The 22,978-nt window shown below is 47.1% G+C and overlaps 1 pseudogene, besides 4 other annotated features; it reads right to left on the reverse strand.

The window, feature by feature from the left end:
- Positions 1 to 635: an enhancer, noted in NCBI's record as "H3K27ac hESC enhancer chrY:908292-908926 (GRCh37/hg19 assembly coordinates)". NCBI's record gives its function as "activates a minimal SCP1, AML or CMV promoter by ChIP-STARR-seq in primed H9 embryonic stem cells {active_cell/tissue: H9 hESC(primed)}" and the evidence as "EXISTENCE:reporter gene assay evidence [ECO:0000049][PMID:30033119]".
- Positions 1 to 710: a biological region, named in NCBI's record as "H3K27ac hESC enhancers GRCh37_chrX:958477-959001 and GRCh37_chrY:908292-908926".
- Positions 186 to 710: an enhancer, noted in NCBI's record as "H3K27ac hESC enhancer chrX:958477-959001 (GRCh37/hg19 assembly coordinates)". NCBI's record gives its function as "activates a minimal SCP1, AML or CMV promoter by ChIP-STARR-seq in primed H9 embryonic stem cells {active_cell/tissue: H9 hESC(primed)}" and the evidence as "EXISTENCE:reporter gene assay evidence [ECO:0000049][PMID:30033119]".
- Positions 711 to 1,234: an enhancer, noted in NCBI's record as "H3K27ac hESC enhancer chrX:959002-959525 (GRCh37/hg19 assembly coordinates)". NCBI's record gives its function as "activates a minimal SCP1, AML or CMV promoter by ChIP-STARR-seq in primed H9 embryonic stem cells {active_cell/tissue: H9 hESC(primed)}" and the evidence as "EXISTENCE:reporter gene assay evidence [ECO:0000049][PMID:30033119]".
- Positions 12,164 to 12,544, reverse strand: RPL14P5 (ribosomal protein L14 pseudogene 5; annotated as a pseudogene).

A 22,978-nucleotide genomic window follows, 5' to 3' on the forward strand; every position in this document is an offset into this window, starting at 1 on the left:
CTTGAAATAGACAAGCATTAATTTCTCTCAGCTATAGATTTGATAACTTAACAAAATGTCTGTTCCTTGCCACCTCCTCTGATTTTTCGCTTTTACAGTTCCCCCAAATGGAACGCCATAACTAACCACAACCACAAATACACTCAGAGCTAAAGCCACATGGCCCCCTATTGGAGGAAAAGCAGGACCCAAGAAACAATTCCTGGCGTCCAACTGACCTTTGCAGGTTTCGCTAGAACATTCAGAAGTCACTGTGGCTGTCCCCAGGGGCCCAGAGTCATTGTGAGAAGCTCAGAGAAGCAGGGGACCCCGCGGACAGCAGCTGGGCACGGGGTCCTTTGTGCAAAAGTCTTTCAAATTCAAATCTCCCTCCCTCCCCTGGGCTGTAAAATCCCTTCTCCCGCCAGTAACACAGCTCTCCCTGGATTTACAGCTGCAATGTTTACCACCAGCCTGCTGAGCTCACAGCTTAGAGCCAGGCTTACCCTTTCAGAGCGAATTTTCACTGAGGCCAGTCTACTTTCCAAGCAGCGACTCTGAGAATGTCTTCTAAGCTGTGGCATAACTGTCCAAGTGGTTCTTCCTGCCTGCTGAATAAAGACTCACAGCATTGCCGTAGACAAAGAATTTAAGAGACACAAGGCCGGCCATGCCATGTGGCAGGCGGAGTACCTACTCAAGGCTCAGAGATAGGGGTTTTTCAAAGGCAGTGTTGTTACCAGAAAGGGGTCTTGCTCCAGACCCCAAGAGAGGGTTCCTGGTCCTTGCACAAGAAACAATTCAGGGCGAGGCCATAGAGTAAAGTGAGAGCAAGTTTATGAAGAAAGTAGAGGGGCCAGGCGCGGTGATTCGAGCCTGTAATCCCAGCACTTTGGGAGGCTGACGCAGGTGGATCACCTTAGGTCAGGAGTTCGAGACCAGTCTGCCCAACATGGTGAAACCCCGTCTCTACTAAAAATACAAAAATTAGCTGGTCATGGTGGGCACCTGTCATCCCAGCTACTCGGGAGGCTGAGGCAGGAGAATCGCTTGGATCAGAAAGGCGGAGGTTGCAGTGAGCAGAGACCTTGTCACTGTGCTCCAGCCTGGGTGACAGAGCTGTGACCTGTGCCATAACTGTCCAAGCGATTCTTCCTGCCTGCTCAGGAAGCTCAGGAAGGGTACTCAGGAAGCAAATGAAAGACGGCTTTGGCCAGGCACGGTGGCTCATGCCTGTAATCCCAGCACTTTGGGAGGCTGAGGCAGGTGGATCACTTGAAGTCAACAGTTCGAGACCAGCCTGGCCAACATGGCGAAACCCTGTCTCTACTAAAAATACAAAAATTAGCCAGGCGTGGTGGCAGGTGCCTGTAATCCCAGCACTTTGGGACGCTGAGGCGGGTGGATAACCTGAGGTCAGGAGTTCAAGACCAGCCTGGCCAACATTGCAAAACCCTGTCTCTGCTAAAAATACAAAAAATTAGCTGGGCCTGGTGGCAGGCACCTATAATCCCAGCACTTTGGGAGGCCAAGGTGGGTGGATCACCTGAGATCTGGAGTTCAAAACCTGCCTGGCCAACATGGTGAAACCCCATCTCTACTAAAAATACAAAAAATTAGCTGGGCATGGTGGCGGGCGCCTATAATCCCAGCACTTTGGGAGGCCAAGGTGGGTGGATCACCTGAGGTCAAGAGTTCGAAACCAGCCTGGCCAAGAAGGCAAAACCACATCTCTACTAAAAATACAAAATTTAGCCAGGCGTGGTGGCAGGTGCCTGTAATCCCAGCACTTTGGGAGGCTGAGGCGGGTGGATCACCTGAGGTCAGGAGTTCGAGACCAGCCTGGCCAACATGGTGAAACCCTGTCTCTGCTAAAAATACAAATATCAGCCGAGAGTAGTGGTGGGCGTCTGTAGTCACAGCTACTTGGGAGGCTGAGACAGGAGAATCCCTTGAATCCGGGAGGCAGAGGTTGCAGTGAGCGGAGATGATGCCATTGCACTCCGGTCTGGGCCACAGAGCGAGACTGTCAAAACAAAACGGAACAAAAAGAATGCTTTAAGAAGCGGGCGGATCACAAGATCCAGAGATTGAGAATAGCCTGGCTAACACAGTGAAACTCCGTCACTACTAAAAATACAAAAAAATTAGCCGGGCGTGGTGGCAGGTGCATGTAGTCTCAGCTCCTCAGGAGGCTGAGGCAGGAGAATGGTGTGAACCCAGGAGGCGGAGCTTGCAGTGAGCCGAGATCCCGCCACTGCACTCCAGCCTGGGCGACAGAGCGAGACCCTGTCTCAAAAAAAAAAAAAAAAAAAAAAAATAGAGAAGCCTGTGGTCCTGTGGGATTTATAGATTTCATTTTGTAAATATATCAGTATTTCCCAAATTAAAATACAGCCTTAATCCCTGCAGAAACTTTTTTTTTTTCAGATCTGGGAATCAGTACACAGATTTCCAAATGTTTCTGTAGAAACATTAGCCTGGCTAACAAGGTGAAACCCCATCTCTACTAACAATACAAAATATTGGTTGGGCGTGGTGGCGGGTGCTTGTAATCCCAGCTACTCAGGAGGCTGAGGCAAGAGAATTGGTTGAACCCAGGAGGCGGAGGTTGCATTGAGCTGAGATCACGCCACTGCACTCCAGCCTGGGCAACAGAGCGAGACTCCATCTGAAGAAATAAAGTAAAATAGCCGGGCGCGGTGGCTCACGCCGGTCATCCCAGCACTTTGGGAGGCCGAGGCAGGCGGATCACGAGGTCAGGAGATCGAGACCTTCCTGGCTAACACGGTGAAACCCGGTCTCTACCAAAAATACAAAAAATTAGCCGGGCAGGGTGGCTGGCGTGCACCTGTCATCCCAGCTACTCAGGAGGCTGAGGCAGGAGAATCGCTTGAACCCGGGAGGCGGAGGTTGCAGTGAGCCGAGATCGCATCACTGCACTCCAGCCTGGGGGACAAGTGAGATTCCATCTCAGAAAAAAAAAAATAATAATAATAATAATAATAATAATAATAATAATAATAAGTAACACAATGAGAGTTTATAACGTGACAGAGGTGGTTTTCGAATTCATTCCATTAAAAAAAAATCCAAGATTTCTGTGTGTCACAAAATATTTACGAAATTAAAGGGAAGTTCAGAGACCACGTGGAAAATACATTCTAAACCAAAGCATCATTACTACACAAGGAGGTGTTTCAAATCAAACGTGAAGTTTCCCCCAATGAAAAAGTCAAACGGCACAAGATAAACGGTCGGAATCAACAGAACACGTTCGACTTCAGTAAAGATTACAGAAATACTTTCTTTAAAACAAGGAGACCTCACTTGAATTTTCTACATTGCATGCTTTTCTGCCCTCCAGAGCTGAAAACTCAGAAGCTTTGAAAATGCCCATTCTCTTGGCTGGGCGCGGTGGTTCACGCCTGTAGTCCCAGCACTTTGGGAGGCCGAGGCGGGTGGATCACCTGAGGTCAGGAGTTCGAGACCAGCCAGGCCAATATGGTGAAACCCGTTCTCTACTAACAATACAAAAATTAGCTGGGTGTGGTGGCGGGCGCCTGTAGTCCCAGCTACTCAGGAGGCTGAGGCAGGAGAATCTCTTAGAACCCGGGAGGTGGAGGTTGCGGTGAGCCGAGATCGCACCACTGCACTCCAGCCTGGGCGACAGAGCAAAAAAAAAAAAAAAAAGAAAGAAAGAAAAAGAAAAGAAAATGCCCATCCCGTTGGATCCAGGCATTGCATTTTTTACCAAGTGTTACAAAGTCAAAACAAGCAAGGAGAAATCACAGTAAAAAGAAAATTACACAGTGCAAACACGCCCAAAATGAGAAGCTTGTCTGTGCGGAAGGAGAGATGCTTTGTGTGCTTTAGAGATGTTTTACTTATATGGGTGAAAAATAGATATATGTAAAAATAGAATATGTGAAAAATAGAATAAAATCACATATATGAGAAATAGAATTAAAAATGACGGCTGAGTGTGGTGGTTCACACTGGTAATCCCAGCACTTTGGGAGACCAAGGCGGGAAGATTGCTTGAGCCTAGGAGTTTGAGGCCAGCCTGGGCAACAAATAATACAAAATAATAATCTCTACAAATAATACAAAAAAAGCCACCCTCCTGCCTCAGCCTCCCAAGTAGCTGGGACTACAGGAGTGTGGAGTCCCAGCTACTTGAGTGTGGTGGCCCACACCAATGGTCCCAGCTAATCGGGAGGCTGAGGCAGGAGGATTGCTTGAGCCCGGGTGGTGGAGGCTGCAGTGAGCTGTGGTCATGTCACTGCACTCCAGCCTGGGTGACAGAGCAAGACCCTGTCTTTAAAATAAAACAGCAAGCCAGGCGCGGTGGCTCATGCCTGTAATCCCAGCAATTTGGGAGGCCGAGGCAGGTGGATCATTTGAGGTCAGGAGTTCGAGATCAGCCTGGCCAACATGGTGAAACCCCGTCTCTATTAAAAATATAAAAATTAGCTGGGCATGGTGTCATACACCTGTAATCCCAGATACTCAGGACGCTGACGCAGGAGAATCATTTGAACCCAGGAGGCAGAGGTTGCAGTGAGCCAAGATCATGCCACTGCACTTCTGCCTGGTCTCCAGAGCGAGACTCCCTCCCAAAAAAAGTTGCAGCGAGAGAGAACGGACAAACAGAGGAGTCAGGAGAAGCCATGGGGAAGAGAGAATGGAAGAAAGAGGCTCAAACTCAGACCCTGGAGAAGGAGAGGGGCAGGGTTGGCCACCCACAACCGTATCCACAGTCCAGAGAATGCTGTAGTTACAAGATACAAATAGGAATATCTTGATCTCCTCACCTCAGTGAACATGGGGATGCATAGTTATCCTATTTATTTCTTAATTATTATCATTATTATTTTGAGACAGAGTCTTACTCTGTCACCCAGGCTGGAGTGCAATGGCACTATCTCGGCTCACTGCACCCTCCGACTCCCGGGTTTAAGGGATTCCCCTGCCTCAGCCTCCCGAGTAGCTGGGATTACAGGTGCCCACCACCACACCTGGCTAAGTTTTGTATTTTTAGTAGAGAAGGGGTTTCACCATGTTGGCCAGGCTGGTCTCAAACTCCTGACCTCAGGGGATCTGCCCGCCTCGGCCTCCCAAAGTGCTGGGATGACACGTGTGAGCCACCGCACCCGGCGAGTTATCCTATTTAAATAAACAATTAAGTGTTCAGCAGTGGATGACTTCAGCAATGAGTTAGAAGACGACCGAGCAGAGGTGAAGGAGATGTCATTCCATTTCCTCGTCCAGGCTGGCTGTCCGGCCTCCCCGCGTCCCTCGGAAGACGATGCTGAAATCCCGTTGTGTCTATGGCGATGGCAGACGGGGGACAGCCAGATTCTGAAGGCGTCCCCGGCTACATCTGTTCCCATTTTCTCCTCGGCCGGGCCATACCAGCGGGAGCGGAAATTCAGTTTTAATAACACAGACCCCCCAAACCCATTTCTGAAGGCAGTTTGTGGGGTGACCTCAGTGTGGATTGTAAATATAAAATTCATATGTGCTGGGCTTCCTGACTGTAATTACCTATCAAAAGTTTCAGGGTTTCAGTGAAATTCCTTATGAAACAACAAATAGTCTCACGGTGGAATCTCACCCCCACCTCTCCCTCTCTACATGCCTGGGACAGAGAATTGATTCTTACGTTTCATGCACAGGACAGACAAGTGTATTTGGTATTTTAATCCCATCCCAAGATGTCTGTGTGGAGTTAATTTTCCTCATGGAATATTTCCTTTCTGCTCATGTGCTGCAGGAGAACAGCTACCCACGACTCTCCAGGCAGTGTGGCAGGAGGAGAGAGAAGGGCAGGCTCTGCAGAATTCTTCGTCTTGGCCGGGCACAGTGGCTCACGTCTGTCATCCCAGCTCTTTGGGAGGCCAAGGCAGGAGGATCACCTGAGGTCAGGAGATCGAGACCAGCCTGGCTAACATGGTGAAACCCCGTCTGTATTAAAAATACAAAAAATTGGTTGGGCGTGGTGGCAGGTGCCTGTAATCCCAGCTACTCGGGAGGCTGAGGCAGGAGAATCGCTTGAACCCGGGAGGCAGAGGTTGCAGTGAGCCGAGATCGCGCCACTGCACTCCAGCCTGGGCGACAGGGCGACACTCTGTCTCAAAAAATAAAATAAAATAAAATAAGAATCCCCTGTCCCTTCCTTCTGTGGTCCAAGACACAGGGTGTGAAGTTTGCAATGCAACAGAACCAGGTATAACTGGTGATTCTTTGCACGTCCTGGTCATGCAGGTCTTCATACCTCAGAAGGAAAAGTTCTCAGTATTTATTTATTTATTTATTTATTTTTTGAGAGGGAGTCTCTCTCTGTCACCCAGGCGGGAGTGCAATGGCACAATCTCAGCCCACTGCAACCTCTGCCTCCTGGGTTCAAGCGATTCTCCTGCCTCAGTCTCCCAAGTGGCTGGGATTACAGGCACCCGCCACCATGCCTGGCTCATTTTTGTATTTTTAGTAGAGACGGGGTTTCACCATGTTGGCCAGGCTGGTCTCGAACTCCTGACCTCAGGTGATCCACCTGCCTCGGCCTCCCAACGTGCTGGGATTACAGGCGTGAGCGACTGCGCCCAGCTCAGAAAAATCTTGACCAGGAAAAAAATCTCCTTGCTCGGTTTATACACCTGTCTCTCTCCTTCTCTTTCCGTGTGTATATATAAAGACACAACAAGTTCATCACAGACTTGTGATTTTTCAAAATCATTTCAATTATTAATTTTCCTTCCTTCCTTCCCCCTCCCTCCCTCTTTCTCTCTTTCTTTCTTTCTCTTTCTTTTTCTTTCTTTTTCTTTCTTTCTTTCTCTTTTTCTCTCTTTCTTTCTTTCCTTTTTCTTTTTTTTTTTTTTTTTAAGACAAAGTCTCCCTCTGTCACCCAGGCTGGAGAGCACTGGCACGATCTTGGCTCACTACAACCTCTGCCTCCCAGGTTCAAGTGATTCTCCTCCCTGAGCCTCCTAAGTAGCTGGGATGACAGGCACCCACCATCATGCCTGGCTAATTTTTGTATTTTTAGTAGAGACGGGGTTTCACCATGTTGGCCAGGCTGGTCTCGAACTCCTGACCTCAGGTGATCCACCTGCCTCGGCCTCCCAAAGTGCTGGGATGACAGGCGTGAACCACCGCGCCCGGCCACTTTTCTTCATGACTGAGTTTTTGGTGCTCTTTTAAACTATATATATACTATATATATATAATAAAATATATATTTTAAGTCATATATATAAAATATATGTAATAAAATTTAAATATTTGTATTTTCTTTATGCTAGAACCAATTAAATTATATATAATGATTATATTCTCATATTAAATCTTAAATTCTCTTAAATTATAAGAATTCCACTGGTTCTAGCATTAAGAGAAGACGAATGTTTAAGGTGACAGATATCCCAAGTGAACTGATTTGATTTTTACAAAGTACCCTTAAATTATGCACCTTTTCTTTTATGCATCAAGTTTTCTTTTATGCATCAAAGGAGGCCGGGCGCGGTGGCTCACGCCCGTAATCCCAGCACTTTGGGAGGCCGAGGCAGGCAGATCACGAGGTCAGGAGTTTGAGACCAGCCTGACCAACATGGAGAAACCCCGTCTCTACTAAAAATACATAAATTAGCCGGGCGTAATCATGGGCACCTGTAATCCCAGCTACTCAGGAGGCTGAGGCAGGAGAATCGCTTGAACCCGGGAGGCGGAAGTTGCAGTGAGCCGAGATCTCACGGTTGCACTCCAGCCTGGTGACAGAGTGAGACTCTGTCTCAAAAAAAAATACAACTTTAGGCCAGACGTGGTGGCTCACACCTGTAAATCCCAGCACTTTGAGAGTCTGAGGTGGGCGGATCACGAGGTCAGGAGTTCGAGACCAGCCTGGACAACATGGTGAAACCCCGTCTCTACTAAAAATACAAAAAAATTAGCCGGGCACAGTGATGGGCGCCTGTAGTCCCAGCTACTCAGGAGGCTGAGGCAGAAGAATCATTTGAACCTGGGAGGCGGAGGTTGCAGTGAGCTGAGATTGCACCACTGCACTCCAGCCTGGCGACAGCGTGAGAGTCCGTCTCAAAAAAAAAAAAAAAAAAAAAAAAAAAACTTAAAGAAAAAAAAGCAGCCCCTTAATTCCGGTATTCCCGGCTGATGCCAGGAGAAGCTGCTGAGTGTGACATCCTCCCAGCTGGCTGGCGGACACCGTCTAGTTTATATATTCAGAGACATCATTTCAGCCACCTCTGTTTCCTCTGCCGTCAAATACATGACTGGAGGTAGCTTCTGAAAGTCCTCAGCCGTAACGATCCAGCAGGCTCATTAATAGAGACGGAACGGATCATCACTCGCTTACTTATCGGGTACAAATTGAAATCTTCAGAGTCCCGGCTGGTTCATTAGCAAATCAGGCCTCTGTGGGACAACATGATACATTGCCTAATAAGCAATTAATAGATTCCTCAGTTATTTGATGCATGCACTTTGTGTGTGTGTGTGTGTGTGTGTGCGTGTGTGTGTGTGTGTGTGTGTGTGGTTGGAGCCAGGCGGAACGAGGTCCTGTCCACAACTTTAGCCATTGTGGTATCTGATTAGAATTGACCATTCAATGTCAAATGAATTCCGATGCATCCTAACGGCGGATGTCACTGGCCTAAGGACCCCCCAGTTAAGCCACCTGCCCCATCCTACGTGGACATCTGCTGTTTTTTTGGTTAGTTGGTTTGTTTGTTTTTGAGATGCAGTTTCGCTCTTGTTGCCCAGGCTGGAGGGTAACGGCACGATCTCGGCCCACTGCAACCTCCGCCTCCCGGGTTCAAACAGTTCTCCTACCTCAGCCTCCCAAATAGTTGGGATTACAGGCATGCACCACCACACCGGGCTAATTTTTGCATTTTTAGTAGAGACAGGGTTTCACCATGTTCATCAGGCTGGTCTCGAAGTCCTGACCTCGGGCGATCCACCCGCCTCGGCCTCCCAAAGTGCTGGATGACAGGCGTGAGCCACTGCGCCTGGCCGGATGTCCACTCTTAAATACAGGTGCACTTTCCAGGTTGACCCTTCTGGCTGGTGGACTTACAGGTGCAGCAAATCCCATTATTTCATTCCTTTCATTGCTTAACTCTCCTACTGAGTCCTCAAAGTCCATTATATCATTCTCATGCCTTTGCGTCCTCATAGCTTAGTTCCTACTTATAAATGAGAACATAATGATGATTGATTTTCCATTCCTGAGTTACTTCCCTTAGAATCATGGCCTCCAGCTCCATCCAGGTTGCTGCAAATGCCATCATTTCATTCCTTCTTATGGCTGAGTAGTATTTGGGGTAGATACCAAACTTCCAACATTCTTAGTCACTTTCAGGGCTGGGACTAGAGTGAGGCATTCATCTAGGGCAACAGATTTATTTTTTTATTATTATTATTATTATTATTATTATTATTATTATTATTATCTGAGATGGAGTCTCACTCTTGTTCCCCAGGCTGGAGTGCAGTGGTGTGATCTCAGCTTACTGCAACCTCTGCCTCCCAGGTTCAAGCGATTTTCCTGCCTCAGCCTCCTGAGTAGCTGGGATTACAGGCACCTGCCACCACCCCCAGCTAATTTTTGTATTTTTAATACAAACGGGGTTGCACCTTGTTAGCCAGGATGGTCTCGAACTCCTGACCTCAGGTGATCCACTGCCCTTGGCCTCCCAAAGTGTTGAGATTACGGGCATGAGCCCCTGTGTCTGGCCGGGCACCAGATTCAAAAGGGTGCCAAAAACTGAGTCACTGAGACAAGTAATAATTTATTGCAATGATTTTGAAAAATCCAGGAGAATGCCGCAAGTCTGCAATGAACACGGCAGCCACATCTTAAAGAAACAGGTGCAGGTAAAGACAGGTAGAAGCGGCTGGCCGTGGTGGCTCACACCTGTAATCCCAGCACTTTGGGAGGCCAAGGCGAGGCACGAGGATCTCTTGAGCCCAGCAGTTTGAGACCAGCCTGGCCAACGTAGCAAGACCCCATCTCTACAAAAACTGTGACACATTAAGTGCGCATGATGGCATGAGCCTGTAATCTGAGCTACTTGGGAGGTTGAGGTGGGAGGAGGGCTTGAGCCCAGGAGGTCAAGGCTGCAGTGAACTGTGACTGAGCCTCTGCACTCCAGCCTGGGTGACGGGGACCCTGTTGTCTAAAAATAAAAATCAAGAGAAATCCAACAACGGTGTGATTAACACAACATGGCAACATTTCATAAGTAGTCAGACGCATGTACATACAGATAGGGGAACTTACTGAGTCCTACCTGGGCTTAAGGACGGAAAAATACCCTGATCCTTCTTTTTTTTTTTTAATTTGAGATGGAGTCTTCCTCCGTCCCCCAGGCTGGAGTGCAATGGCATGATCTCGGCTCACTACAACCTCCGCCTCCCGGGTTCAAGCGATTCTTCTGCCTCAGCCCCACCAGTAGCTGGGATGACAGGCGCCCACCATCACACCCTGCTAATTTTTGTATTTTTAGTAGAGACGGGGTTTCACCATGTTGGCCAGGCTGGTCTCGAACTCCTGACCTCAAGTGATCCACCCGCCTCAGACTCCCAAAGTGCCAGGATTACAGGCGTGAGCCACTGCGCCTGGTCAATCTTGCTTTTTATAAAGACAAAAAAGGTGCCTGTCCCACCTCACAACTCAGCCCTCGGGTAGTGGTTGAGCCCCAGGTAGCTTCATTCACACCCGCCAGGGTCATAACGAATGTTTCTTTTTTTAGAAGCACATTCTCTGCTTTTCTTTTCTGGTTTTCTTTTTTAACACACAAACATATTTTTAATATAGTTCTAAGAGAAGAAAAAGCAGGTCATAAAACTGTAATAAGTTTTCCTAATATTTTATTTATTTTTCATTATTACTATTTTTTAGATTTGCCAGCATGTCAAAAAGAACCTTTATTACTTTCTATAATTGCCTCTTATGCTTTGTTGCCACATGCCTTTGGAGCGGGAGCCTCTGTGGCAGGTGTTTCTTCTATTTTAGAGCTGGAGCCTTTTTTGTTGTTGTTTTGTTTTGTTGAGAGGGAGTCTCACTCTGTCGCCCAGGCTGGAGTGCAGTGGCACGAACTCGGCTCACCGCAACCTCCGCCTCCCAGGTTCAAGCGATTCTCCTGCCTCAGCCTCCCGAGTAGCTGGGATTACAGGCACCTGCCACCACGCCTGGCTAATTTTTGTATTTTTAGTAGAGATGGGGTTTCACCATGTTGGCCAGGCTGGTCTTGAACTCCTGATCTCAAGAGATCCTCCCACCTCAGCCTCCCAAAGTGCTGGGATTACAGGCGTGAGCCAACGTGCCTGGCCGGAGCTGGAGCTTTTTGACCCTTCTGAGCTTTTGGAGCAGGTGCCTCTGTGGATGTAACCGTCTTCTCACTCTACTTGGCAGGTGTTTCTTCTATTTTAGTAGCTGGAGTTTTTGAGTCCTCTGAACTTTTGGAGCAGGTGCCTCTCTGGACGTAACCATCTTCTTACTCTACTTGGCAGGTGTTTCTTCTATTTTAGGAGCTGGAGTTTTTGAGTCCTCTGAACTTTTGGAGCAGGCGCTGCCTTCTGGCCTGCGGCTTTCTGGGAAAGAATCTTCTGGGCTGTAGCCTTCTTACGCACGGCGGTCATCTTTTTCGCTGGAACTTTACCAGCAGCTGCAGCTGCAGCCGTACCCCTTAGCAGCAGGTGCCTTTTTGGAAGAAGCTTTCAGGAGGGCTGCCTTTTGAAGCGTCTTAACTTTATTCTCGATAATTCTGTTCCTCATTTTCTTTGCCTTCATAACTTTAAAATGATCCAAATCTGTCGTCTTGGCTTTTTGGAGAAGCTTTCAGGAGAGCTGCCTTTCGAAGCTTCTTTTTTTTGAGATGGAGTCTTGCTCTGTCACCCAGGCTGGAGTGCAATGGCACCATCTCAGTTCACTGCAACCTCTGCCTCCCGGTTTAAGCGATTCTCCTGCCTCAGCCTCCCGAGTAGCTGGGATTACAGGCACCCGCCACCACGCCCAGCTCATTTTTGTATTTTTAGTAGAGACGGGGTTTCACCATGTTGGCCAGGCTGGTCTCGAACTCCTGACCCCAGGTGATCCACCCGCCTCGGCCTCCCAAAGTGCTGGGATTACAGGCGTGAGCCATTGTGCCCGGGGTCTTGAAGCTTCTTCATTTCATTCCTGATGGTTGTGTTCCCATGTTCTTTGCTTGCATAACTTTAAAACGATTGAACTGTGTCATTTTGCCTTTCCTTTCTCTGGCTTCCATCTTCTTGGCCCCTCGTCTGGCTGCCCATTCTGTGTTGATGTGTAGCTTCTGCCAGGCCTGTCGGACGTACCTCTGGCGGGCGCGGTGTGGAAGCTTGAGGAGGAAATCTGTGAGCTGCCTGTGCTTGAAAGGCATGGCCTGTCTCCTCCTTTGAGTGCACGGTCCATCAACCAAAGCCCTCTTCCCATCAATAACATCTGTAGTCGCGACCGGTTTTCCAGCATGAGGTCCAAAGCAGACGTAGGCCACCCGGGCAACCTCCACGAACTCCCTGAACACCATGTTGGCAGCCTTAGGCGAGAAGGTTAATCTTTTATTTTTAATTGGCAAATAATAATTATGTATGTGTTTAGGGTATAACGATATGTTTTCATCAATGTGGGAAGGATTAAATCAAGTTAACGCACCTGCCACCTCACCTACCTATTATCACCGTGTGTTTTCTTGTTTTTTTGGTGGTGGTGTTCCTTTTTGAGATGGAGTCTTGCTCTGTCACCCAGGCTGGAGTGCAGTGGCACAGTCGCAGCTCACTGCAACCCCCATCTCCTGGGTTCAAGCAGTTCTCTTCCTCAGCCACTTTAAAACGATCCAAATCTGTCATCTTGGATTTTTGGAGACGCTTTCAGGAGAACTGCCTTTGGAAGCTTTTTTTTTTTTTTTTTGAGATGGAGTCTCGCTCTGTTGCCCAGGCTGGAGTGAAATGGCACCACACCTCAGGTGGTCTGTCCACCTTGGCCTCCCAAAGTGCTGGGATTACAGGCATGAGCCACCATGCCCAGACTCATCTCATCTGAGGTCAGGAGTTTGAGACCAGCCTGGCCAACATGGAGAAACCCTGTCTCTACTAAAAATACAAAATTAAATTTTGAGATGGGGTCTCGCTCTGTCACCCAGGCTGGAGTGCAGTGGTGCAATCTCAGCTCGCTGCAACCTCCACCTCCCGGGTTCAAGCGATTCTCTGCCTCAGCCTCCCGAGTAGCTGGAACTACAGGCACCCACCACCAAGACCGGCGAATTTTTGTATTTTTAGTAGAGACGGGGTTTCACCATGTTGGCCAGGCTGGTCTCGAACTCCTGATTTCGTGACCCACCTGCCTCGACTTCCCAAAGTGCTGAGATTACAGGCATGAGCCACTGCGCCCGGCTACTACTTTATTTTTAATTGGCAAATAATTATGTATGCGTCCAGGGTGTCATGTTATGTTTTCATCGATGTGCGCAATGTGTAATGGTTAAATCACGTTGACACACCCACCGTCTCACCTCCTTATTATCACTGTGAGTTTTTTAATGGTGGGAACATTCAAAAATTACTCTTTCAATGCAAAATCGATCACAAAAGCTGTCTAAGTTCTGTAAAAATATTTCCCGCGGCCGGGCGCGGTGGCTCACGCCTGTAATCCCAGCACTTTGGGAGGCCGAGGCGGGCGGATCACGAGGTCAGGAGATCAAGACCATCCTGGCTAACACGGTGAAACCCCATCTCTATTAAAAATACAAAAAATTATCTGGGCGTGGTGGCGGGCGCCTGTAGTCCCAGCTACTCAGGAGGCTGAGGCAGGAGAATGGTGTGAACCCGGGAGGTGGAGCTTGCAGTGAGCCAAGATTGCACCACTGCACTCCAGCCTGGGCGACAGAGTGAGACTCCGTCTCAAAAAAAAAAAAAGAAAAAAAAAATACAAGAATTAGCCGGGCGTGGTGGCAGGTGCCTGTAATCCCAGCTGCTCAGGAGGCTGAGGCAGGAGAATCGCTTGAACCCGGGAGGCGGAGGTTGCAGTGAGCTGAGATTGTGCCACTGTACTCCAGCCTGGGCAACAAAGCGAGACTCCATCTTAAAAGAAAAAAAAATAATAAAGTAAAAAATATAAAAGAACATAAAGACGTCCTCAGCGAAGCATCCATCTCCTCTGCCCTATAGTTTGAGCTACTTACTGACAATCCCTTCTTGCAAACGCTCAACACAGAATTGCTGAGACCGTTAGAACATCACAGAGCCCTCCCTCTGTGTTTCATGAATCTTGCCTCTTTCTGTTTTTTTATTTTTTGTAGAGATGTGGCGGGGGGGCTCTCACTATGTTGCCCAGGCTGGTCTCAAACCTCTGGCCTCAAGCCATCCTCCTGCCTCAGCCTTACAAAGTGCTGGGATCACAAGCATGAGTCGCCGCTGCACGGATGAATCGTGCGTCTTTTTACCTGCAACCATGTCCATCAACCCTCGTCGGTGTTAGTCAATATTATCAAACATTATTATTGTTGTTATTAAATATTAAATAATTATTATTAAATATTAACTAAATACTTAATTTATATTTAATATTATTATATTATATTTGTTGTTTATTATATATTATATTATAAAAATATCAAGTGATGTTAAATGAATTACATATTAATTAAATTTAATTTATATTTAATTAATATTTAATCAATATTTCTATTGATTTATATTTCTATTTTATATTGCACATATTGCAATATGCATATAGATGCATATCTATTGCATAGATGTATATGCATAGCTATATATGCATATAAAAATATATGGATATATGCAAATATATGGATATATAGATATATGCATGTTTATATTTTAATTAAATATTTAATTATTAATATTAAATAGTATTAAATACTTAATTATTAATATTAAATATTATTAAATACTTAATTATTAATATTAAATATTATTAAATATTTAATATTAATATTAAATATTATTGAATATTTAATATTAATATTAAATAAATATTAATGTTTATTATTAGATATTAATTAAACATTTAATTTATATTTAGTTAATATTTAATCAATATTTCTATTTATTTATATTTCTACTTTATATTGCATACATTGCAATATGCATATATAGCTATGCATATATATCTATGCAATAGATATGCATCTATATGCATATACAAATATATGGATATATGCAAATATATGGATATATAGATATATGAATGTTTATATTTTAATTAAATATTTAATTAATATCTAATAATAATCACGAATATTTAATATTGATAATTAAATACTAATTATTAAATATTTAATTACCATATAAACAGAAGCATATATATTCAATGTTGTTCAACATTTTCCGCACCCTCACCACTTTCACAGCCGATCCAGTCATATGTTTTGATGTCAGGGGACCCCCTCCCCAGTATCCCTCTCTCTCATTGCTAAGTGCCCACACCAAGGTGACCCGGGGACCCCCACTGTCACAGGCCTGGATTGTGACGGAGTCTGAAGCATTCGCCGTTGGTGGGGCACGCTCAGGTGATCAGCGGGACGTGAGTGTGGATGGCGGGACAGCCAGGAGACAGACGATGTCTCCTGTAATACAGCATGAGCACAGGAGAAAAGAAAAAAAAGAAAGGAAAGAAAGAAAAGAAAGAAAGATCACACCACAGGTTGGGCACGGCGGCTCACGCCTGTAACCCCAGCACTTGGGGAGGCTGAGGCGGGCAGATCACCTGAGGTCAGGAGTTCGAGACCAGCCTGACCAACATGGTGAAACCCCGTCTGTACTAAAAATACAAAAATTAGCCGGGTGTGGTGGAGGGCGCCTGTAATCCCAGCTACTGGGGAGGCTGAGGCAAGAGAATCGCTCGAACCCAGGAGGTGGAGGTTGCAGTGAGCTGAGCTCGTGCCGCTGCACTCCAGCCTGGGTGACAGAGCGAGACTCTGTCTCATAAAATAAAATAAGGCCAGGTGTGGTGGCTCACGCTTGTCATCCCAGCACTTTGGGAGGCCGAGGCAGGTGGATCACCTGAGGTCAGGAGTTCGAGACAAGCCTGACCCACATGGTGAAACCCCATCTCTACTAAAAATACAAAAATTAGTCGGGCATGGTGGCAGGCATCTGTAATCCCAGCTACTCGGGAGGCTGAGGCAGGAGAATCACTTGAACCCGGGAGGCGGAGGTTGCAGTGAGCTGGGCGTGTTGGCAGGTGCCTGTCATCCCAGCTACTCGGGAGGCTGAGGCAGGAGAATCGCTCGAACCCAGGAGGTGGAGGTTGCAGTGAGCTGAGCTCGTGCCACTGCACTCCAGCCTGGGTGACAAGAGCAAAACTCCATCTCTAAAATATATGATCAAAAAAAATTAAAATAAAATAAAATAAAATAAGATATATGATCAACACAATGTAAATTAGACAATTTATAGTCACACAGCATCCTCCGCGACCTCACCCACAGTGGGAGAGAAAAATTAAAAAAAAAAAAAAACAGTTTTAGGATGATCCCCATGAAATTGTCAAAACCAGCCGCCTTCTAAATATCTGACTGTGGCTGTCAGAAAACAGACTTCAGAGAAGAATACAAATCATTGTATCCAGCCATAATAATGGAGTTCAAAGCTGAGAGGCTATGAAAAATTCATCGTGTGTCTACTTGAAACGAGGGATGTAAATTATGCCACTTTGTCTATATTTGTACAATATGTTCTCGTTGGCAAATACGGGATCTGATCATTGTTTCGTTAAATACCTGACAATTCTGTAACAGTTGCAAAGACGGGTGCTTAAATCAGCGTTTCCCACTCTAGGACGGCAAGAAAACAAAAATAAAGAAATAAAACAGGGTCAGAAAGAATGAGAGCCGGGGGAACCTTTATCTAAATCAGTTGCTTGGACCGGGTGCGTGGGGGCTCACGCCTGTAATCCCAGCACTTCGTGAGCCTGAGACGGACGGATCACCTGAGGTTGGGAGTTCGAGACCAGCCTGGCCAACATGGTGAAACCTCGTCTCTACTGAAAATACAAAAATTAGCCCGGCGTGGTGGCAGGTGCCTGTAATCCCAGCTACTTGGGAGACTGAGGCATGAGGATAGCTTGAACCCGGGAGGTGGAGCTTGCAGTGAGCTGAGATCGGGCCAGTGCACTCCAGCCTGGGCGACAGAATGAGATTCTCTCTCAAAAAAAAAAAAAAAAGAATTTCTTGAATTCATTCTCGAGGTCAGGGTATGTGATGTGACGCTCTCCTAAATGCTGAGAAGATGGAAATAGCATTCTGGTGCACGTCTGTCACCCCAGCTACACGGGAGGCTGAGATGGGAGAACCGCTTGAGCCCAGGAGGTTGAGGCTGCAGTGAGCTGAGATTGCACCACTGCACTCCAGCCTGGGTAACAGAGGGAGACCCTGTCTCAAAAAAAGAAAAAAAGACATGGAAATAACATTTGATGAAGAAGGTGAGGAAAGCCCACACTTTAGCTTTCAAACTGCTACAATTTTTTTTTTTTTTTTTGAGACAAAGTCTCGCTCCGTTGCCCAGGCTGGAGTGCAGTGGCGCGATCTCTGCTCACTGCAACCTCCGCCTCCCGGGTTCAAGCCATTCTCCTGCCTTAGCCTCCCCAGTAGATGGGATTACAGGCGCCCACCACCACACCCAGCTAATTTTTGTTTTTTTGGTTGAGACCAGGTTTAGCTGTTGGCCAAGCTAGTCTCGAACTCCTGACCTCAGGTGATCCACCCGCCTCGGCCTCCCAAAGTGCTGGGATTACAGGCGTGAGCCACCTCGCCCGACGTAATTGCTCCAAATTCTTAAGTCACATGAACACCAGATGCAAGTACTCATACCTCAGACAAGGCAAGAAATTATTATTTTTCCTGCTGACTAAGAAATTCTCATAGCAAAGTATCCCTTGAGTAATATAGCCTGGTTATTCCAGTTTGCATATGTTTTGTTTTTTTGAGACGGTGTCTCACTCTGTCACCCAGGCTGGAGTGCCGTGGCTTGATCTCGGCTTGCTGCAAGCTCCGCCTCGTAAATATGATTCTCCTGCTTCAGCCTCCTGAGTAGCTGGCATTTTAGGCGCCCGCCACCACACCCGGCTAATTTTTGTATTTTTTGTTTGTTTGTTTTTAATACAGACCAGGTTTTACCATGCTGGCCACGTTGGTCTCGAACTCCTGACCTCAAGTAATCTGCCTGCTTCGGCCTCCCAAAGTGCTGGGATTACAGGTGTGAGCCACCGTGCCCAGCCTTCCAGTTTGCATATCTTGCTGATAGGTTTAATTAGCTGAGTGAGCCCAATTTGATAATGCAGCTGGGCAATATTGCTTTCCTGCTGCAGAGAGGGTCATAGATGAAATGACATCTATCCTCGGTATCCAAGGCAGCTGGATACGTTCTGGTTTGGAATTTTGACTGATCTGGTAAGAGGTGGGGGCTGAGGAATCTCAATCCAGATTTTAGGTTTAGTGTTTTGTTTCGTTTCTTTTCGAGACTGAGTCTCGCTCTGTCGCCCAGGCTGGAGTGCAGTGGCGCAATCTCAGCTCACTGCAACCTCCGCCTCCCGGGTTCAAGCGATTCTCCTGCCTCAGCCTCCCAAGTAGCTGGGATTACAGGCAGCTGCCACCACACCTGGCTAATTTTTGTATTTTAGTAGAGACGGGGTTTCACCATGATGGTCAGGCTGGTCTCGAACTCCTCACCTCAGGTGATCCACCCACCTTGGCCTCCCAAAGTGCTGGGACTACAGGCGCCCGCCACCACGCCTGGCTAATTTTTGTATTTTAGTAGCGATGGGGTTTCACCATGATGGTCAGGCTGGTCTCAAACTCCTGACCTCAGGTGATCCGCCAGCCTCGGCCTCCCAAAGTGCTGGGATGACAGGGGTGAGCCACCGTGCCCGGCCTCTGGTTTGCAATTGTGACTGAGCTGGTAAGAGGTGGGGGCCAAGGGTTCTCAATCTGTTTTTTTAATTTTTGTGTTTTGTTTTGTTTTGTTTTCGAGACAAGATCTTGCTCTGTTGCCCAGGCTGGAGTGCAGTCGTGCAATCTCAGCTCAGCGCAGCCTCCACCTTCTGGGCTCAAGCCATCCTCCTTCCTCAGCCTCCCAAGTAGCTGGGACTATGGGCATTCATACCACATCCAGATAATTTTTTTTTTTTCTTGGTACAGACAGGGTTTCACCATGTTGCCCAGGCTGGTCTCAAACTCCTGGGCTCAAGCATCCTCAGCCTTGGCCTCTGATAGTACTGGGATTATAGGTCTGAGTCACAGGGCCTGTCTTTTTGTTTTTGTTTTTGTTTCTGTTTTGTTTGTTTGTTTTGAGATGGAGTCTCGCCCACCGAGGCTGAAGTGCAGTGGCGTGATCTCAGCTCACGGCAACCTCCACCTCCCAGGTTCAAGCGATTCGCCTGCCTCAGCCTCCCGAGTAGCTGCAGTTACAGGTGCCCGCCACCAAACCCAGCTAATTTTTTTGTATTTTTAGTAGAGACACGGTTTCACCATGTCGGCCAGGCTGGTCTCGAACTCCTGACCTCAAATGATCCTCCCACCTCAGCCCCCCAAAGTGCTGAGATTACAGGCGTGAGTCACCGCGCGCCCGGCCACTGTTTTTCTTTTCCTTTTCTTAAATAACAGCACCATTGCACAGCTCATGAGCGCTACAGAAAACACATGTTAAATGTTTTCCACCAAATTTTGGCTTTTTATTGCGGTTGAAAATAAACAAGTACCAGAAAATCAGATCTTTTTGTAAAATGTTAAACACACATTATGGGTAATGTACACGCCTGTGGCTTCCTGTACGGCCACAGGGTAATTGAATTTGATTCGAGTTCATTTACTCCTGCCAAATCAAGCCCCACCGAACAGGTGTTAGATGTTGTTAGAGATTCAGCTTTGAAATGTCCATTTCTCTCTTCCTTTCAACTTCTGGATGTGCTGAACTGGGGAAAATCCTGTGAGTATAATTTACATGTTCCTGCTGCCTTCCACGCTACGGTATCGGAGCACCTGATGACTTCTTTATATGGGGCATATGAAAGCAAACTCTGAAATGAGGCCGGGCGCGGTGGCTCACGCCTGTCATCCCAGCACTTTGGGAGACCGAGGAGGGTGGATCGCCTGAGGTCAGGAGTTGGAGACCAGCCTGGCCAACATGGTGAAACCCCATCTCTACTAAAAATACAAACACTAGCCTGGCTTGGTGGCAGGCGCCTGTAATCCCAGCTACTCGGGAGGCTGAGGCAGGAGAATCGCTTGAACCCGGGAGGCTGAGTTTGCAGTGAGCTGAAATCGTGCCACTGCACTCCAGCCTGGGCAACAGCGAGATTCTGTCTCAAAAAACAAACAAAAAAAAATAGTCACTCATGGGCATCGCCTTATTTTCCATTGTTACTGCTTATTGATACATTCAGGGAAATACTGGTTTTACAATTTTACGGTTGCTAGAAGTTGGAATGAAACCACAAGTAATGAGTCTCACTTTATTTGATGATTTGGTGGTCTTGCGTTCTTTGAACTTATTCTGGGTTAATTCTCTATGTCTCTTCTTTCTTCAACTTCAAATTTGGATCTCTGCACAATTTTCTGCAATTTGTTTTTTATTTTTTATTTTTTTTTGTTCTTTCAGGTCCCCTATCATCTTATGGGCTCTTTTCCATATTAATCGTGTTTTATTTTGTCTTTTCTGTATCGTTCTTTGTTTCATTTTTCTTTTCTATCCTCTATTTCTCTCTCTTTCTTGTATTTTGAAACAGAGTCTCGCTCTGTCACCCAGGCTGGAGGGCAGTGGCGCGGTGTCGGCTCACTGCAACCTCCACCTCCCCGGTTCAAGCGATTTTCCTGCCTCAGCCTCCCGAGTAGCTGGGATTACAGGTGCCCGCCACCACGCCCGGCTAATTTTTGTATTTTTACTAAAGACGCGGTTTCACCATGTTGGCCAGGATGGTCCCGAACTTCTAACCTCAGGTGATCCACCCGCCTCGGCCTCCCAAACCTATGGGTATTTTGTTCTTGTTTTTGAGATGGAGTCTTGCTCTGTCGCCCAGGCTGGAGTGCAATGGCGTGATCTCGGCTCACTGCAACTTCCATTTCCCAGGTTCAAGTGATTCTCCCGCCTCAGCCTCCCAAGTAGCTGGGATTACAGGCATGCGCCAGCACGCCTGGCTAATTTTTGTGTTTTTTAGTAGAGACGGGGTTTCACCATGTTGACCAGGCTGGTCTCGATCTCCTGACCTCGTGATCTGCCCGCCTCAGCCTCCCAAAGTGCTGGGCTTACAGGCGTGAGCCACCGCGCCTGGCCCCAAGAGAGGGTGTTGTCTTTTTGCCCAAGCTGGAGTGTAGTGGCGTGATCACACCTCACTGCAGCCTCAACTTCCTGGGCTAAAGGGATCCTCCAGCCTCAGCCTCCCAAGTAGCAGGGAATCCAGGTGTGAGCCGCTGTGCCCTGCTGAGAACAAATTTTTGCATTTTTAAAATTTAATTCTGTGCAGTGTTCATTGTTGCCAACCAAATGTACCCTTTTCCACAAAAGAAAGCTTTATTTTCCTGTGTATAGCAATATAATTTCTTAAGAACATGGTAGAGCACACATAATATAATCTCTGCCATTTTAGCCATTGTAAATAAGGTACAATTCGGCCAGGCATGGTGTTTCACACCTGTAATCTCAGCATTTTGGGAGACTGAGGCAGGCCGATCAGGAGGTCAGGAGATCGATACCATCCTGGCCCACATCGTGAAACCCCATCTTTACTAAAATACAAAAAATTAGCCTGGCATGGTGGTGCACGCCTGTAGTCTCAGCTACTCGGGAGGCTGAGGTAGGGGCATTGCTTGAACCCAGGAGGTGGAGGTTGCAGTGAGCCAAGATCACGCCACTGCACTCCAGCCTGGGTAACAAGAGCGAGACTCTGTCTCAAAAATAAAAGAAAAAAAATTAAATATTCTGCAATGTTCATTGTTGCCAACCAAATGTACCCTTTTCCTCAAAAGAAAGCTTCTTTTCCTGTCTATAGCAATACATACTTTTTTAAAATTGTGGAGGAGTGCATATAATATAATCTCTGCCATTTTAGCCATTTTAAAGAGTACATTTTGGCCGGGCACGGTGGCTCATGCCTGTACTCTCAGCACTGTGGGAGGCCGAGGCGGGTGGATTATCTGAGGTCGGGAGTTCGAGACCAGCCTGGTCAACATGGCAAAACCCCATCTCTACCAATAATACAAAAATTAGCCGGTGTGGTGGTGTGTGCCTGTCATCCCAGCACTTTGGGAGGCTGAGGTGGGTGGATCACGTGAGGTCAGGAGTTCGGGACCAGCCTGGCCAACATGGCAAAACCCCATCTCTACTAATAATACAAAATTTAGCCAGGCGTAGTGGCACATGCCTGTAATCCCAGCTACTCGGAAGGCTGAGGCAGGAGAATCACTTGAACCCGGGAGGCAGAGGTTGCAGTGAGTTGAGATTGTGCCATTGCACTCCAGCCTGGGCAACAAGAGCGAGACTCCATCTCAAAAAAAAAAAAGAAAAAAAATTTAAATATTGTGCAATGTTCATTGTTGCCAACCGAATGTACCCTTTTCCTCAAAAGAAAGCTTCTTTTCCTGTCTATAGCAATATATACTTTTTTAAAATTGTGGTAGAGCACACATAATATAATCTCTGCCATTTTAGCCATTTTAAAGAGTACAATTCGGCCGGGCATGGTGGCTCACGCCTGTAATCCCAGCACTTTGGGAGGGCCGAGGCAGGTGGATCACCGGAGGTCGGGAGTTCGAGACCAGCCTGGCCAACATGACAAAACCCCATCTCTACTAATAATACAAAAAATTAGCTGGGAGTGGTGACGCATGCCTGTAATCCCAGCTACTCAGGAGGCTGAGGCAGGAGAATCGCTTGAACCCGGGAGGCGGAGGTTGCAGTGAGCTGAGATGGCGCCACTGTACTCTAGCCTGGGGAACAAGATCAAAACTCT

The sequence above is a fragment of the Homo sapiens genome, chromosome Y (genome assembly GCF_000001405.40).
Source record: "Homo sapiens chromosome Y, GRCh38.p14 Primary Assembly".
In the NCBI taxonomy this organism is placed as follows: Eukaryota; Metazoa; Chordata; class Mammalia; order Primates; family Hominidae; genus Homo; species Homo sapiens.